Source organism: Homo sapiens, chromosome 16 (assembly GCF_000001405.40).
Source record: "Homo sapiens chromosome 16, GRCh38.p14 Primary Assembly".
NCBI classification, from domain to species: Eukaryota; Metazoa; Chordata; class Mammalia; order Primates; family Hominidae; genus Homo; species Homo sapiens.
In genome coordinates, this window is record NC_000016.10 from 3,468,278 (window position 1) to 3,484,085 (window position 15,808).

The 15,808-nt window shown below is 53.0% G+C and overlaps 1 protein-coding gene across 9 annotated transcripts in view, besides 3 other annotated features; it reads left to right on the top strand.

The window, feature by feature from the left end:
* NAA60 (N-alpha-acetyltransferase 60, NatF catalytic subunit) overlaps positions 1 to 15,808 on the top strand; it is a 43,353-nt gene that overhangs the window by 24,667 nt on the left and 2,878 nt on the right. For 3 of the 9 annotated variants that reach the window (NM_001083601.3, NM_024845.4, NM_001083600.3), the window contains 4 exons: positions 7,945 to 8,060; positions 11,194 to 11,323; positions 14,225 to 14,321; positions 15,086 to 15,320. In NM_001083601.3, the coding sequence (NP_001077070.1) occupies positions 7,951 to 8,060; positions 11,194 to 11,323; positions 14,225 to 14,321; positions 15,086 to 15,320 (572 nt within the window). In that variant the 5' untranslated portion in view covers positions 7,945 to 7,950. The remainder of the gene's footprint in view (positions 1 to 7,944; positions 8,061 to 11,193; positions 11,324 to 14,224; positions 14,322 to 15,085; positions 15,321 to 15,808) is intronic. The other 6 variants (NM_001317096.2, NM_001317097.2, NM_001317098.2 and 3 more) reach the window with 3 other exon arrangements.
* Positions 1,270 to 1,987: an enhancer, noted in NCBI's record as "H3K27ac-H3K4me1 hESC enhancer chr16:3519547-3520264 (GRCh37/hg19 assembly coordinates)". NCBI's record gives its function as "activates a minimal SCP1, AML or CMV promoter by ChIP-STARR-seq in naive H9 embryonic stem cells {active_cell/tissue: H9 hESC(naive)}" and the evidence as "EXISTENCE:reporter gene assay evidence [ECO:0000049][PMID:30033119]".
* Positions 3,082 to 3,251: an enhancer, noted in NCBI's record as "experimental_43345 CRE fragment used in MPRA reporter constructs". NCBI's record gives its function as "activates a minimal promoter by MPRAs in K562 erythroleukemia cells, with activity observed for both the introgressed and non-introgressed 16:3521444 variant alleles {active_cell/tissue: K562}" and the evidence as "EXISTENCE:reporter gene assay evidence [ECO:0000049][PMID:34662402]".
* Positions 12,296 to 12,465: an enhancer, noted in NCBI's record as "experimental_43346 CRE fragment used in MPRA reporter constructs". NCBI's record gives its function as "activates a minimal promoter by MPRAs in K562 erythroleukemia cells, with activity observed for both the introgressed and non-introgressed 16:3530658 variant alleles {active_cell/tissue: K562}" and the evidence as "EXISTENCE:reporter gene assay evidence [ECO:0000049][PMID:34662402]".

Below are 15,808 nucleotides of genomic sequence, written 5' to 3' on the forward strand. Positions count from 1 at the left end.
AGCAGGTCGGTGTGAAGGGAGTAGCCTCTGGTTCTTTTGTTACTTGGGGATGGAAAGTTGGGGTTTTCCTTTGGATTTAGTTCTAAGAAGTCAGCATGAATTGGCCTTAGGTTCCCTGCCTCCAGACCCTATTCTCCTGCCTCACAGTGATGTTGATCAGGGGGCTCAGCTTGGCTCTGCCAGTTCAGACACCAGCCCCTTCCAGCTACTGCCAGTCCTTGGAGGAAAGCAGTCTTGGTACCGTGTCCGGAGAGGTCATTTCCATGTAAAAGAAATATGAGGTCTACAGGCAGCTCAGGAGCACGGAGTTGGGGGAAGCAGAGAAGGTGTGAGTGCCGAGGCGCAAGCACGGCTTTTGTTTGGGTCAAGCAGGATCAGTGCCTCCCTCCTTGCATCGCTCCACCTCCGGAAGGCGGAGAACTGCGATGCAGACCCAGGAGGCCAGCCAGGAGAGATTTCTCACCCCAGGCTCGAGCCTTTGAAGCTCCAGGTTCTAACTTAAAAATTCAAGGGAGTGGCCGGGCTCGGTAGCTCATGCCTGTAATCCCAGCACTTTGGGAGGCCAAGGCAGGTGGATCACGAGGTTAGGGATCGAGACCATCCTGGCCAACATTGGCCTGACAAGGCCAACAACCTTGTCTCTACTACAAATACAAAAATTACCTGGTTGTGGTGGCACATGCCTGTAATCCCAGCTACTTAGGAGGCTGCGGCGTGAGAATCGCTTGAACTCGGGAGGCAGAAGTTGCAGTGAGCCAAGATCTTGCCACTGCACTCCAGCCTGGGCAACAGAGCCAGACAACATCTCAAAAAAAAAAAAAAAAATTCAAGAGAGTTTCGCATTCTCCCGTGCAATACTTCCCTGCTTGTTGTAGTAGAGATGCGTCCTGTGCCTTTTTAGGAACATGTTCTGAAAGATGGCTTGGGCAACTGTGACTTTAGTGCTCTATCCCCCCAGCACTGCCCTGGTACCCATCCTGTTTAGAGGGCTCAGAGCAGAGAGCACCTGCCTGGCAGGGCCCGTCTCTGACTTTGCCTTGCTGCTCCTCCCAGCACTGCCCTGGTACCCGTCCTGTTTAGAGGGCTCAGAGCAGAGAGCACCTGCCTGGCAGGGCCTGTCTCTGACTTTGCCTTGCTGCTCCCCCCAGCACTGCCCTGGTACCCATCCTGTTTGGAGGGCTCAGAGCAGAGAGCACCTGCCTGGCGGGGCCTGTCTCTGACTTTGCCTTGCTGCTCCGCACAGCACTGCCCTGGTACCCATCCTGTTTGGAGGGCTCAGAGCAGAGAGCACCTGCCTGGTGGGGCCTGTCTCTGACTTTGCCTTGCTGCTCCGCACTGCACTGCCCTGGTACCCGTCCTGTTTGGAGGGCTCAGAGCAGAGAGCACCTGCCTGGCGGGGCCTGTCTCTGACTTTGCCTTGCTGCTCCCTGTTATCAGCACTCTTGTCCCTGTGTCCTCCGGGTGGCCTGCAGGGCAATGGAAGATGAGTACTTAGTAGAAGGTTCTAGGTGGGCACATGAGGGTTCCTTGCCAGCACCAGGGCTTTGTTCACACAGGTGTTGCATGAAGCCATCCAGCCAAGAGCCAGGGCTCCATGCCTCTGAGCCCTCAGGCACTGCATCATGCTGGGCCTCAGCTCCATACCTGCCGCGTGTCTGTCTCACCATCACTGTGCTCAAGGAAGGTCGCCACCAGATGCTCCTCTGTGCGCCGGGCCTGCTGGGGCTGCCCTGGGGCCTGGAAAGTGCTTTAAGCAGGTCCTTTGTCTCGTGTCAGGGGATGGGCTCCAAAGTTAGTGGTTGGAACTAACTTTGCCATCTGCTGGAGGGCTTTGCCCCTGCCATGCCTTGAGCCCACACATACTCCAGGGGTGACTGACACAGTTGGTTTTGCATCAGAATTGGCCATTGCCACCTCTGAGGGGCTGGGAAATGGGTGACCCTGCCCCACAGTGCCTGCACTGCCCCCAGCAGACAATGCTGGGGGAGCAGCTTCCCACCAGGCCTGGCTTGGGGCTTCTCCAGGGAAGCCCAGGTACACCTCCCAGCCTGTAGGTGAAGGTGCCTGGAATGGAACTCGCTATTCCCAGAGGCACAGAGCTCCCGTCACAGCGGCTGGGTGACAGCAGTAATTCTCGCAGATGTTCAGGCCCTGGGACCCCAGAAGTGAAATGACCCAGGGCGTCAGCAGGAAAGGAGGCCCCACTTTTTCAGGACCTCTCCCTCCAACCAGCTCCACGTCCTTCCCAAAGCTGGGCCCAGCGTGGCCCTCATAGCCAGCTCCGTCTCTCTCTCCTTGGGCCTGCTGTGACTGCAGGCACGGATACACTGGGGAGACGGGATGTAGAAAGCTGTGGGAAGAGGGAGCAACGGCAGGGCAGGGGCCAGTGGGGTTGGGGGGGGCCGCTGGCCCTGCCTTTGGATCATCTCCGACTTGATCAGCATGAACCCCTGACTCTAGAGGGAGGCTGATGGGCCAGGGCACATGTGGGTCCCCCTCACTGCCTCCGCAGCAGTGGACCTACAGCCATGCTCTTTGACCCCATCTCTTCCTTTCATGGGCACACAGGTGACCCGAGTCTCTGTTTCGTGCACCTTCCTGCCTCTTCTCTGCCCCTCAGTTGGGCTGAGACACATGAGGTGCTGTGATGCATGCTGCATTTGGCCCTGACTTAGGTGTGACGCGTTTCCATTTTTAAATCGAGTGTAAAGAACTGGCCTCCAGAAACACGGAAGCACTTTTAGTAGGGATTTGAAAATCCGCAGATCGTTGTGTATCTCAGAGCCCAGTGTTTTTCTTGAAATTCACACTGGAAACAAATGAGGATACTGGGGGAAATGTGCAGTCCCAGGACATGAGAGATGCGAGCTTATTACGAATCTGTCTTTGGTACCAAGCCACAATATAGAGATTTGTGAAAATCTTTAAAAATCAACTTGACTGGGCCGGGCGCGGTGCTCACACCTGTAATCCCAGCGCTTTGGGAGGGCAAGGCAGGCGGATCATGAGGTCAGGAGATCGAGACCATCCTGGCTAACAAGGTGAAACCCCATCTCTACTAAAAATACCAAAAAAATTAGCCAGGTGTGGTAGCAGGCCCCTGTGGTCTCAGCTACTCGGGAGGCTGAGGCAGGAGAATGGCGTGAACCCGGGAGGCGGAGCTTGCAGTGAACCGAGATCGCGCCAGTGCACTCCAGCCTTGGGGGGCAGAGCAAGACTCCATCTCAAAAAATAATAATAATAAAAAGATCTGGAACGTTTTCGTCCCCTCAGGAAGTCATCCCTGCCCCAGGCATCCACGGAGGTCAAGGCCTTGCCAACCCCACTTCCTGGGTCCAGCTCTCAGGTGGTTCTCCCTGTGGCCTCCAGACCCGGGCTGTACCGGCTGGTTTCGCAGGTTGCCTGTGCTCATCCTGCCCTCTCCGGTGAGAGCTGAGCCGGTGGTGTTTTTTTCAGAGCCAGCTGGCCCTGCAGGAGCTCAGAAACCTGGGCGGCTGGGCCTATGGGCTCTGGAGTTCTGCCCAGGGTGGCCAGGTGGGCAGCCTTTCCCCCGTGCTGGTTCCTGTAGCAAGGAGGAGGCCGTGTGCTGGGGCCCTTGTGTCAGGAGCTGTCTCTGGAAAGGCTGAATCGAGGAACCAGCCTCTGCCTTGTCCGTCGATGTTGTGGGGTTAGTGGCTTTGTCCCAGAGTTTCAAAGTGTGGGTAAGTGGTTTCTGGGTTTGCCAGTTTTCTTAGCCCTTAGGGGAAAGGGGGTGGGAGCCTGCCCTCAGCTGGCTTCGTAAAAACACAGTATCTGTGCTTGAGTTACACGCCCGGCGTCCTTTTGCGTTTTGAGACCTCAGTGGAGTGTGCGGGCCCTGAGTAGTATGCACCCACTGACAGTGAACCAGATGCTGCCCCCCTGCGGTTCCAGTGTATGTCAGTGCCAGCCACGTGCCCAGGACCCACCGTTCCCAGGGATACAAGATCCCGTGGCCCATGGTGGCAGCTGCGGCACACAGCGCTGCTTTCCAGAGCTCTCAGTGCGGACAACAGAGGCCTTGCATTCAGTCACCTGGAAAACCCACCATCCACATTGGAAACCCAGTCTCTCCGGAATGAGAAATTTGGTTGGTTTTCTTTAGCTTTTTGTTTTTTTGTTTGTTTTGTTTATTTTTTGAGACAGAATCTCACTCTATCGCCCACGCTGGAGTGCAGTGGCACAATCTTGGCTCACTGCAACCTTGGCTCACTGCAACCTCTGCCGCCCAAGTTCAAGCAATTCTGTTGCCTCAGCCTCCTAAGTAACTGGGATTACAGGTGCCTGCCACTGCGCCCAGCTAATTTTTTTGTATTTTTAGTAGAGACAGGGTTTCACCATCTTGGCCAGGCTGGTCTTGAACTCCTGACCTCATGATCGGCCTGCCTTGGCCTCCCAAAGTGCTGGGATTACAGGCATGAGCCACCGCTCCTGGCCCTGGTTGGTTTTAATTAAGAACATTTTCAAACATCCACGTGGCATACCCGTTATCCAGATCTAACGCCCATTAATATTTTGCCACTTTTTTGCTCCAACTAAATTAAACTAAATTCTGGAACATTCTGTCATTTTGCCCCTGCATATTCCACTGTGCATCTGTTAATATAAAATATGGACTTTTTGTACATAACCACAAGACTCTTCTCACACCTGACAAGATTAACACCTTCATCTGTTCTTTTAGAGGTTTTGTTCCTTTGTGTGTTCTTTGTCATCTGTTTTGTTTTGTTTTGTTTTGTTTCGTTTCATTTCGTTTTTGAGTCAGAATCTCACCACGTCACCCAGGCTGGAATGCAATGACACCATCTCAGCTCACTGCAACCTCTGCCACCCGGGTTCAAGCGATTCTTGAACCTCAGCCTCCTGAGTGGCTGGGATGACAGGCACACCACCACGCCTGGCTAATGTTTGTATTTTTAGTAGAGATGGGGTGTGTTAGTCCATTTTCATGCTGCTGATAAAGACACACCAGAGACTGGGTAATTTATAAAGGAACCAGGTTTAATGGACTCACGGTTGTACATGGCTGGGGAGGCCTCACAATCATGGCAGAAGGCAAAAGTCACGTCTTACATGGTGGCAGGCAAGAGAGAATGAGAGCCAAGCAAAAAGGGAAACCCCTTATAAAACCATCAGGTCTCGTGGGACTTATTCACTACCACAAGAACAGTATGGGCGAAACTGCTCCCATGACTCAGTTATCTCCCACCAGGTCCCTCCCAGAACATGTGGGAATTTTGGGAGCTACAATTCAAGATGAGATTTGGGGAGGGACAGAGCCAAACCATATCATAGTGTTTCACCATGTTGGTCAGGCTGGTCTCAAACTCCTGACCTCAAGCAGTCCACCTGCCTGGACCTCCCAAAGTGCTAGGATTACAGGTGCGAGCCACCATGCTTGGCCCCAGCTTTTTGTTGTTGTTGTTGTTGTTGTTGTTGTTGTTGTTGTTGTTTTTTGAGATGGAGTCTTGCACTGTTGCCCAGCCTGGAGTGCAGTGGTGCGATCTTGGCTCACTGCAACCTCTGCTTCTTGGGTTCAAGTGATTCTTCCACCTCAGCCTCCTGAGTAGCCGGGATTATAGGCACCTGCCATCATGCCTGGCTAATTTTTATATTTTTGTAGAGACAGGGTTTTATCATGTTGGCCAGGCTGGTCTTGAACTACTGACCTCAGGTGATCCACCAGCCTTGGCCTTCCAAAGTGCTCATATTACAGGCATGAGCCACCATTCCCGGCCTATTTTTAAAGGGTCTGGAGTCAACAGTGCATGGATCCAGAACCGTGGGAACAAAGGGGTGGGCACAAGGGCGGGGTGGGGGGTGTGAGTTTAGAGAGGCTTCTCCCTATAAAGCTGAGCATGAACTACTTGGCACACCTGACGTTGAACCAGGAGCTGAGAACCACACAAGTTAGGAGTCAGAGCAGAGCTGCTCAGGACGTCAGTGCTGGCCCTGTCCCAGGTCAAGGGGATACCCCGGGAAGTGGCTGGACTGAGCCAAGTATCAGCTAGTAGTGGGTGCTCAAGGCTGGTGTAGAGGGGCACCGCCTCCCTGCCAGCACTGTCCTGACACTTGGACCCCATCAGCTCGTTCCAGCAGAGAACCACCCTGGGGAGGGGCCTAGCTATCTCCACTCCGCAGAGAAGGCTCCAGGAATCTGATTAACTAAGGCTGAGCCAGCAGAGAGACCAGATTCAGCGTCTAAATTCCTCCCCTTGTCAGGAAAGGGAAGGTTGTGCAGAAACCTGGACAGTGGACGCCGCGGGCACTTCCCACCCATGGCAGCAGGAGGGCGGGAGCTCAGAGAGGCTGGGCTCGCCCTGCCAGTGGAGTGGGGACTGCCAGATAAAAGACGAGGTCTTTCCTGGGCAGTGAGTGAGTCCTGGGGGCCCAGGGGCTTGCCTCCACACCTTGCACCTGCCCCCAGCAGCTTTCAGCTGCGGATTTCACGGCCTTTCCTGATTGTTGTTTGACTCCGTCATTTCTGTTGGTGATTCCAAAATGGTGACTTTCTAATTCAGTCATTATTTCTACTTTTATTAGCTGGCATTCTTCTGTAAAGAACTTTCCTCAACGCTGAGATGAACTACGCAGTTCCTCCTAAAAAAGGAGGATGAATGCAGCATCTTTTCCCATTTATTTATGGGTTTGTTTATTTATTTATTTTTAGAGACAGGGTCTTGCTATGTTGCCCAGGCTGATCTCAAACTCCTGGGTTCAGGCGATCCTCCCACCTCAGCCTTCCAAAGTGCTGGGATTACAGGCATGAGCCACCACACCCAGCCTTCCATCCTTTCCTTTTTTTTTTTTTTGAGATGGAGTCTCACTCTGTTGCCCAGGCTGGAGTGCAGTGGCGCAGTCTTGGCTCACTGCAGCCTCCACCTCCCGGGTTCAAGCGATTCTCCTGCCTCAGCCTCCACAGTAACTGGGATTACAGTTGCCCGCCACCAAGCCTGGTTAATTTTTGTATTTTTTGTAGAGACAGGGTTTTGCCATGTTGGCCAGGCTGGTCCTGAACTCCTGACCTCAGGCAGTCCACCCACCTTGGCCTCGCAAAGTGCTGGGATTACAGGCGTGAGCCATCACACCAGGCCCCATCCTTTCCTTTTAACGACTAATTTCCAACTTAAAGAACCAAGGCTTCTGTTTTCCCCTTCTCGGTGCCCAGCACTTGGCCGGCCAGCCTTCCTCCCTCCATTCCTCTCTTCCTTTCTATACAAACTTCCTTGTTAAATAAAACAGGGGGGCTGCTCCTCCCGCCCCTGGATTGGATGCACTTTCCTGATTTAAAGGAGTCCTTGGCCACTCGTGACCCCGACTTGAACTGTGGTGTCCCCCAAAGTCTCTTTCTTTCCGCCCAGGAGTGTTCACTTGCTGGGCGGGGAGGAGAAATTGGGGTGTGACCCACTCAGCACAAACCCACGCCCTGGTCATAAAGCCGCACCATTTCCCCTGCAAATCCAGCCGTTCACTGCCCCGGCCACCGGGCTGCTTTGAAGGGGGATGAGGCATGGGGGCTGCTGAACCCACAACTGTCACTGGCAGCCACTGGCTGGAGTTGAGAGAAGTCAGGCTGGCTGGGGCCGTTGACCCTCGGAAGGACCACTGTCATAAGATGTGAGACCAGTCAGGGGCAGCTCAGATGGGGAGAGAGGCTGGCCAGGGCTTCCTTCAGCTGGGGCTGAGCAGTGGAGGGCCTGGTTCCCCATCCTGCCTGCCCTCCTGGGCCTGGGTCTTCCCAGCGATGGGGGCGACTGCAGCGCCTCTTGGGAGGGCGATCGTGAGAGGCAGAGGCCTCTGAGTGCTGGCTGAGGGGTGTCCACCCGTGGGACATGCTCCGTGCTCTTCTGTCTCGCCTGCCTCACAAGCTGAGCATGAGGAAGACCAGGCTGTGAGGTGACGCGTCCCCCCCACCCTTCCCCACAGGTGTGAATGACAGAGGTGGTGCCATCCAGCGCGCTCAGCGAGGTCAGCCTGCGCCTCCTCTGCCACGATGACATAGACACTGTGAAGCACCTGTGTGGCGACTGGTTCCCCATCGAGTAAGTGGAGCGGATTGCAGGGTTGGGGAGAGCCCGTGAGCCTCAGGTGCAGAAGCTGGGCGGCGGGGGTGGGGGCCTCTTGGGCCCTTAGGACCGTGCTGCAAAGATGGGAATGGCCTGGAGGGGCCACAGGGGTCCCAGGTTACCCACCTCATCTAGGGACCCCTGCTGCTGGGCTCTTTCCACCTCTCAGGGTGTGCAGAGTTCCCCAGAAGGGCTCTGTGAGAAATTTCAGTTACAGAGCTATCGGGTGTGGTGCTATTTATAATTCAGAAAATTTAGAAGCCACTCAAGTATCTTCACAGCAAGGAGTTGGTTACATGCATTAGAGTAATTAGAGTATGTGCATATAAAAGTGCAATATTATTCAGCCGGGAAAAAAAAACCTGTCAAAGAGTTATATTTTTTGATAGAGAAATCTTTTTTACAAGATATTAAAGGAGCCTGTAATCCCAGCAGTTTGGGAGGCCAAGGAGGGCAGATCACCTGAGGTCAGGAGTTCAAGACCAGCCTGACCAACATGGAGAAACCCCGTCTCTACTAAAAATACAAAATTAGCCAGGTGTGGTGGTGCGTGCCTGTAATCCTAGCTACTTGGGAGACTGAGGCAGGAGAATCACTTGAACCCAGGCGGTGGAGGTTGCGGTGAGCCGAGATTGCGCCATTGCACTCCAGCCTGGGCAACAAGAGCGATATTCCGTTTCAAAAAAAAGAAAGAAAGATATTAAAGGAAAAAAGTCAGTCTAGAAAATAGTATGTACCACGATCCTATTTTTATTTGAAAACATGTACAAGATAAAATTTTATAATGATAGGTATGAACTGAGCGGGGGTGAAAAAAATTTTACAAGGGGGTATGTACCATTTAACAGTGTTTCAGTATTTGAGGTGGGTAGATTAATATTAGGCCCTATGATTGTTTCTTCTTGTCTGTCTTGCCTACAATATATGCACATACAGCTTTTTTGATGAAAAAAGTTGACACAAACTTTGAAAATGGAAAATAAACAAGATCTTGCCAGCCACCAGCATTTCCTTGAGTGTTCACCTCAGACTGACTGAACCTCATGCTCTTGGCAGGGCGGTGGCAGGGACCCCTGTGCGTCTTTGTGGAAGCGGGAACTGTCACAGTCCAGGTGATGTGGGCTGGCGGTGGCAACATGAGTTAAAAAACTGTTCTTGGCTGGGCGCAGTGGCTCACGCCTGTAATCCCAGCACTTTGGGAGGCCAAGGTGGGTGGATCACCTGAGGTCAGGAGTTCGAGACCAGCCTGGCCAACATGGTGAAACCTCATCTCTATTAAAAATACAAAAATTGGGCCGGGCGCAGTGGCTCACGCCTGTAATCCCAGCACTTTGGGAGGCCAAGGCAGGCCTGAGGTCAGGAGTTCGAGACCAGCCTGGCCAACATGGTGAAACCTCATCTCTATTAAAAATACAAAAATTGGGCCGGGCGCAGTGGCTCACGCCTGTAATCCCAGCACTTTGGGAGGCCGAGGCGGGTGGATCACGAAGTCAGGAGTTCAAGACCAGCCTGTCCAAGGTGGTGAAACCCCGTCTCTACTAAAAATACAAAAAAATTATCTGGGCATGGTGCAGGCACCTGTAATCCCAGCTACTCGGGAGGCTGAGGCAGGAGAATCGCTTGAACCCAGGTGGCAGAAGTTGCAGTGAGCCAAGATTGTGGCACTGCACCCCAACCTGAGCGACAGTGAGACTCTGTCTCAAAATAATAATAATAATAATAATAATAAATAGGCCTGGTGGCACGCACCTGTAACCCCAGCTACTCGGGAGGCTGAGGCAGGAGAATCACTTGAACCCGCGAGTCAGAGGTTGCAGTGAGCTGAGATCACAACACTGAACTCCAGTCTGGGTGACAGAGTGAGACTCCATCTCAAAATAAAAATAAAAACGTGTTCTTCAGCCCAGCAATTTAACTGCTGGAAACTAATCTAGAGAAATAAAAGCTGCAGTGAGTGCATAGATCAGACTCTGCCCAGGGTTGCCTGAGAGCCAGTGGAGCCACGCTGGACCGTGGGCCTTGGCCATGTGAGCCACCCAGCCTGCCTGTCTCTCCTGCAGTTCTCGTGGGCCTAAGGTCTCAGGTTCCCAAGACTGTGACATGAACCGGGCTGTGAGGCAGCAAAACTAACCCTACACACCCTAGAAACTCCATGTGCCTCTGTCCTCCTGACCTTGTCTCTCTGGGGCTGGGGCTGGATTCGCCTGTTAATGACCATGTCCTGGGCCTTTATGCCCACTGTTTTTTTTGCCTGCTCCGCTCAGAGGGGTCTTGGCCTCATTGTTGATGAGCAGCCGTTAGCAGCCTCAGCCTCACATTCCCCTTAAGGGCGGGTTCCTCCCTGTCAGGGAAGGCATTGTAAACTCAAACGCCTGTCAGCTGTGAACCTGGCTCTTCCTGGAATCACTCCACTCCCCTAGTCTTCAGTGTCCAGAAGTCTCACAGATTCTCGTAGGCACTCCTCCAGTGTCCAAGGGTGAGAAGGGCCCTAAAATCTTCACTCACCTGGTGGAGGAACAGGGCCCTGCTGCTGACTCTCCATGAGTTGCTTCCATGGAGACAGTTTCATGTCGGATAAAATTATTTTTCCCGGGCCAGGCGCGGTGGCTCACACCTGTAATCCCAGTACTTTGGGAGGCCAAGACGGGCAGATCACATGAGGTCAGGAGTTTGAGACCAGCCTGACCAACATGGAGAAACCCCATCTCTACTTAAAAAAAAATACAAAATTAGCCGGGCGTGGTGGCACATACCTGTAATCCCAGCTACTCGGGAGACCGAAGCAGGAGAATCGATTGAACCCAGGAGGCAACGGTTGCAGTGAGCCGAGATCACGCCATTGCACTCCAGCCTGGGCAACAAGAGCAAAACTCCGTCTCAAAAGAAAAAAATTCCCATCAGAGATCCCCAGTCCTGTCTAGACAGATCACTGCTTTAAGAAGGTGGCTGTGACAGTTAGGTAGAGACTTAAGTGATGGGCACACTCCTCGGCAGCCTTAGAGCAGCAGGCAGAAGTGGCCCAGAGCTCCCTGTGGTTCTGATGTCTAGAGCACGACCATAGTTGGACTTGACCTGTGGCAGGTTCACCTGAGTATGTTCTGTTTCTCAGGTACCCAGACTCATGGTATCGTGATATCACATCCAACAAGAAGTTCTTTTCCCTTGCTGCAACCTACAGAGGTGCCATTGTGGGAATGATAGTAGCTGAAATTAAGAACAGGACCAAAATACATAAAGAGGTACGTACGTGTGTGCAGTGAGGACTTGGCAGTCACTGTCATTGGACGGGCCAAGGGGGCTTGCGATGGAATCATGCTGCCTGCTCCACAGCCGTCGTCCAAGGAGCCTGTGACCCAAGGAATCCAAGTGGCCAACGACACTTGTCCCTGGCTGGTGCTTTTCTGTGTGTGTGTGTGTGTGATTTCATGGTGCGTGGGCCTCCAGTCGTGCCCAGCAGCAGGCTTCATAACCACTGTCGTTCTGAAGCAGGCATGAGCGCAGATGATGCATTGAGAATCTGCAGTTACAACGTGCTATGAAAATACCCCTGATTTGTGTTGGCGGCAGTGTCATAGAAACCGCTAAGACTGCTTCAGCTTGTTGAAGGAAATGCTAGTTACAGTTAGAGGTCAGGGAAAGTACAGAGATAATTTTTTTTCCTCTAACTTCACAGAGCCCTTTAAGATCTAAGAACCCTTTGGGCATCCGTGGACCCACCTCAGTCTCACTTCAGGCTAGCAAACCCCAGTCTGAATGTAAACAGTAAGACCATGGCCATATTGTTCCAAATGGTTGAGTTTAGTCAAGATTCTGTGTGATGATGTTGGTCATCCCAGCATCTGAGGTAATGTTTACCACCCGAGGATTTAGCCAAGGAGGGAAAAACCCACCAACAACTGGCAGATGGTTCAATTTGTTTGGCTTGAGGTTATTTCTTTAAAAGTTAGAGAAGGGGCCGGGCGCAGTGGCTCATGCCTGTAATCTCAGCACTTTGGGAGGCCGAGGCGGGCAGATCATCTGAGGTCAGGAGTTCAAGACCAGCCTGGCCAACATGGTGAAACCCCATCTCTACTAAAAATACAAAAATTAGCCGGGCGTGGTGGCAGGCGCCTATAATCCCAGCTATTTGGGAGGCTGAGGCAGGAGAATCGCTTGAACCCACGAGGCAGAGGTTGCAGTGAGCCGAGATCGTGCCATTGCACTCCAGCCCGAGGGACAAAAGCAAGACTTCGTCTAAAAAAAAAAAAAAAGAAGAAGAAGAAAAGTTAGAGAAGGCCTGGGCACAGTGGCTCACACCTATAACCCCGGCATTTTGGGCAGATCACGAGGTCAGGAGTTCGAGACCAGCCTGGCCAACATCGTGAAACCTTGTCTCTACTAAAAGTAAAAAATAAATTAGCCAGGCATGATGGCGCTTGCCTTTAATCCCAGCTACTCAGGAGGCTGAGGCACAAGAATCACTTGAACCCAGGAGGCAGTGGAGGTTGCAGTGAGCGGAGATTGCACTTTTGCACTCCAGCCTGGGTGACAGAGTGAGACTCTGTCTATAAATAAGTAAATAAAAGTGCAAGAAGGCCTGTCTCTCCCTTTAAGGACCCGAATCCACTGGCATCTACCCTGTTTTGCCTGTGGTCATACTCTGTCTGGCACAGCTTTTTTCTCCTGAGTCACTTTTTCTGCCCTAGCTTCCTCCTGAGCTTTTTTCTTTGATTTTTAAGAGCTAAGATGTAGCAGAAAGCAAGTGTCAACATTCTTTTCTCTCCTCTTTTTTTTTTATTGAAACGGAGTCTCACTATCACCCAGGGTGGAGTGCAGTGATGCGATCCTGATCCCGGCTCACTGCAACCTCCGCCTCTCAAGTAGGATTTTAGACGTGCGCCACCACACCAAGCTAATTTTTGTATTTTTAGTGGAGATGGGGTTTCACCATGTTGGCCATGCTGATCTGGAATCCCTGGCCTCAAGTGATCCGCCTGCCTCGCGGGAGTGCTAGGATTACAGGTGTGAGCCACCGTGCCCAGCCTGATCTCTCTTGTTAATGGGACACGTGGTCCCCCCCTTCCCCCAATGACTCATTCCCCTGAACCCCATCCCCCTCCGGGTGGCTTTCCTGAGTGCCCCCTGGTGACTGTGTGCCTGCCCCCAGGTGGCGGCTGGGTCTCTTCCTCCTCTGGAATGTGTTTGTGTTCCCTCGAGGCCGACATGGGGACCCTTTGGCTCATGTTCCCGGCTCTCAGTAGAGGGCCCTCTGGCCTGCACGCTGGCACTCATTCATCTGGCCCCTTCCTCTCAGGCTTAGTGAGTTCAAGGTCAGGGCAAAGTAGACCCTGTTAAGAGATGTCAGCTGGGGAACAGACACCCTTCCTGCAGGCCTGGAGTAACAAGAGTGATAAGGACGCCTTCCTCCCTGGACTGACATATCTGGGTGAACTGTGGCTTGAAGAGGGCTGGGAGAGCAGGGAGCCTGGACAGGCTGACCCCAGCCCAGCACGTGGGAGCAGAAAGGCCTTCTTGTTCTTTACGAGTTGGAAGATGATAAGAGCCTCATGCTGATCAGATTCATGACTCCCACCCGGAATTCCATCTCTAGAACCAAGAGATGGTGGGTGGCTTTACGCAGGTGTGGCGGTGTCCTCTGCCTGTGGGGGCAGCAGAAGGGGTTGGACGGCCGCCCAAGTCTCACTCCTCCAAGATCACCTGGGGCAGCGTGCGATTCTTTAACTGAACCTCTAAAACTTTGCATTTGTCCACTGTCCTGCATCCAGGCCTACCAGGTGACATGCGTGCATTCCCATGAGGCCCGCGTGGTGCTGTGTAGTTGCTGCCTTCATGCCATAACTTTACCTTGTGCTGGCATCAGAGCCTCATTCCCGTCCTTGGCTAGGCCTCCCACACACCCCTAGGAGAAGCTCCTTTTGTGTGTGTTCTTCTTTTCAGCTGTTTTTCACCAGAAGGGCATAAACGCTCTCATTTCCTTGGGGAGTGGGGGCCCCTCTCCAGTACCTCTTGATTCTGCCCCTCCCAGTCGGTGTCCCTCTGGCTGTCGTGGGAAGTCGGTGCGGAGCCCGCCTGGGCCGGGCTGTGCAGTGAGCCGTGCACCAGACGTGTGAGCCTGACTTTCTCTCTGACTCTTCCTCTAGGATGGAGATATTCTAGCATCCAACTTCTCTGTTGACACACAAGTCGCGTACATCCTAAGTCTGGGCGTCGTGAAAGAGTTCAGGAAGCACGGCATAGGTAAGGGCAGCCGGGCCCGCGGCTTGGCGCCCACCCCACCCCCTTGCCCTACCCCACCCCCATCCCATCTGCACCCAGTCTCTTCCCTGGCCCCAACAACTCTGGCTCGTGAACATCCCTCAGTCTCATCTTCCATCCTCGTTCCCGTCTTGGGCCAGACCTTCATCATCCCTCCCCTGCCAGCACACCCACCACCTTCAGCCATCCTCTTTCCACATGCCCCCAGGCCTTTCTGCTGCAGCCTCGCTCAGCCCCCAGGATGGAGCTGAGGAAACTGGCACCTCTCACTTCTGCTGCCGCCACACGCACAACTCGTGTATTCACTGCTCACGATTCAGAGTAGAAAGCGTGAACACGCACGAGGAAGCAACACTCACCGTTTCTCCGATGTCCCACCCCACTCGGCCACACGGCCAGTGAGCGGCAGAGTCTTAATTAATTTTAAACCCAGGCCCATCTAGTCCATGTTTTCCTGGGCTCACATTTACCCTGTTTGTTGTCTGAAAGGGAGTCTCCATGCGGGCCCAGCCCATGGGAGGGCGCTACCAGGCCACCTCTGCAGTCCCTCCCAGCAGTCTGTAGCTACCAGGCTCCATCTGGCCATGAGATTTTAGGGACTTTGACAGTGGTGGTGAAGAAAGGCTGGTCTCTGATACGGTGGGCCGAGACATCTCCGAGAGACTCATGCAAAGCCCCCATCCTAGCCCAGTCATCCTTCCTTCCTAACTGCTCTGCCTGCATTACCTTTACCTCTTCTCCCCAAGGTTCCCTCTTACTTGAAAGTTTAAAGGATCACATATCAACCACCGCCCAGGACCACTGCAAAGCCATTTACCTGCATGTCCTCACCACCAACAACACAGCAATAAACTTCTATGAAAACAGAGACTTCAAGCAGCACCACTATCTCCCCTATTACTACTCCATTCGAGGGGTCCTCAAAGATGGCTTCACCTATGTCCTCTACATCAACGGCGGCCACCCTCCCTGGACGATTTTATATCCTTAACTTCTGGGGGAGAGGGACTGTGGCTTCCTGTCCATAAGGTGGCAGAGCCAGTGAGCAAGTTGGAGCTGTGGTCCCCCTCAGATGATGTTCAGGTGGCCAAGCTTATGGATGCTTCTCTCCCTTACCTGATCGTGTTGTGGGTAAACCTGACACACATTTGGGTAAATCGAGTTGCACATATTACCATGTTGCCCAGGCTGGTCTCGAACTCCTAAGCTCAAATGATCCGCCTGCCGCAGCCTCCCAAATTACTGGGATTATAGGCATGAGCCCTGCACCCAGCTGGAGAGCCTCCTGCTCCACTTGCACTGGGGATCAGCAGTGCACAAAACGGACAGGATCCCCTGTCCTCCCAGAGCCTGTGCTAGCAGAGGGGAAACAAGTGCGGAGAGAAGAGATTTTTACTTTTTTTGAATACTTGGGTTCAAACCTTCCTTATAGGATGCATGACCCAAAGGTATGCCCTTCCCTGCTTCTT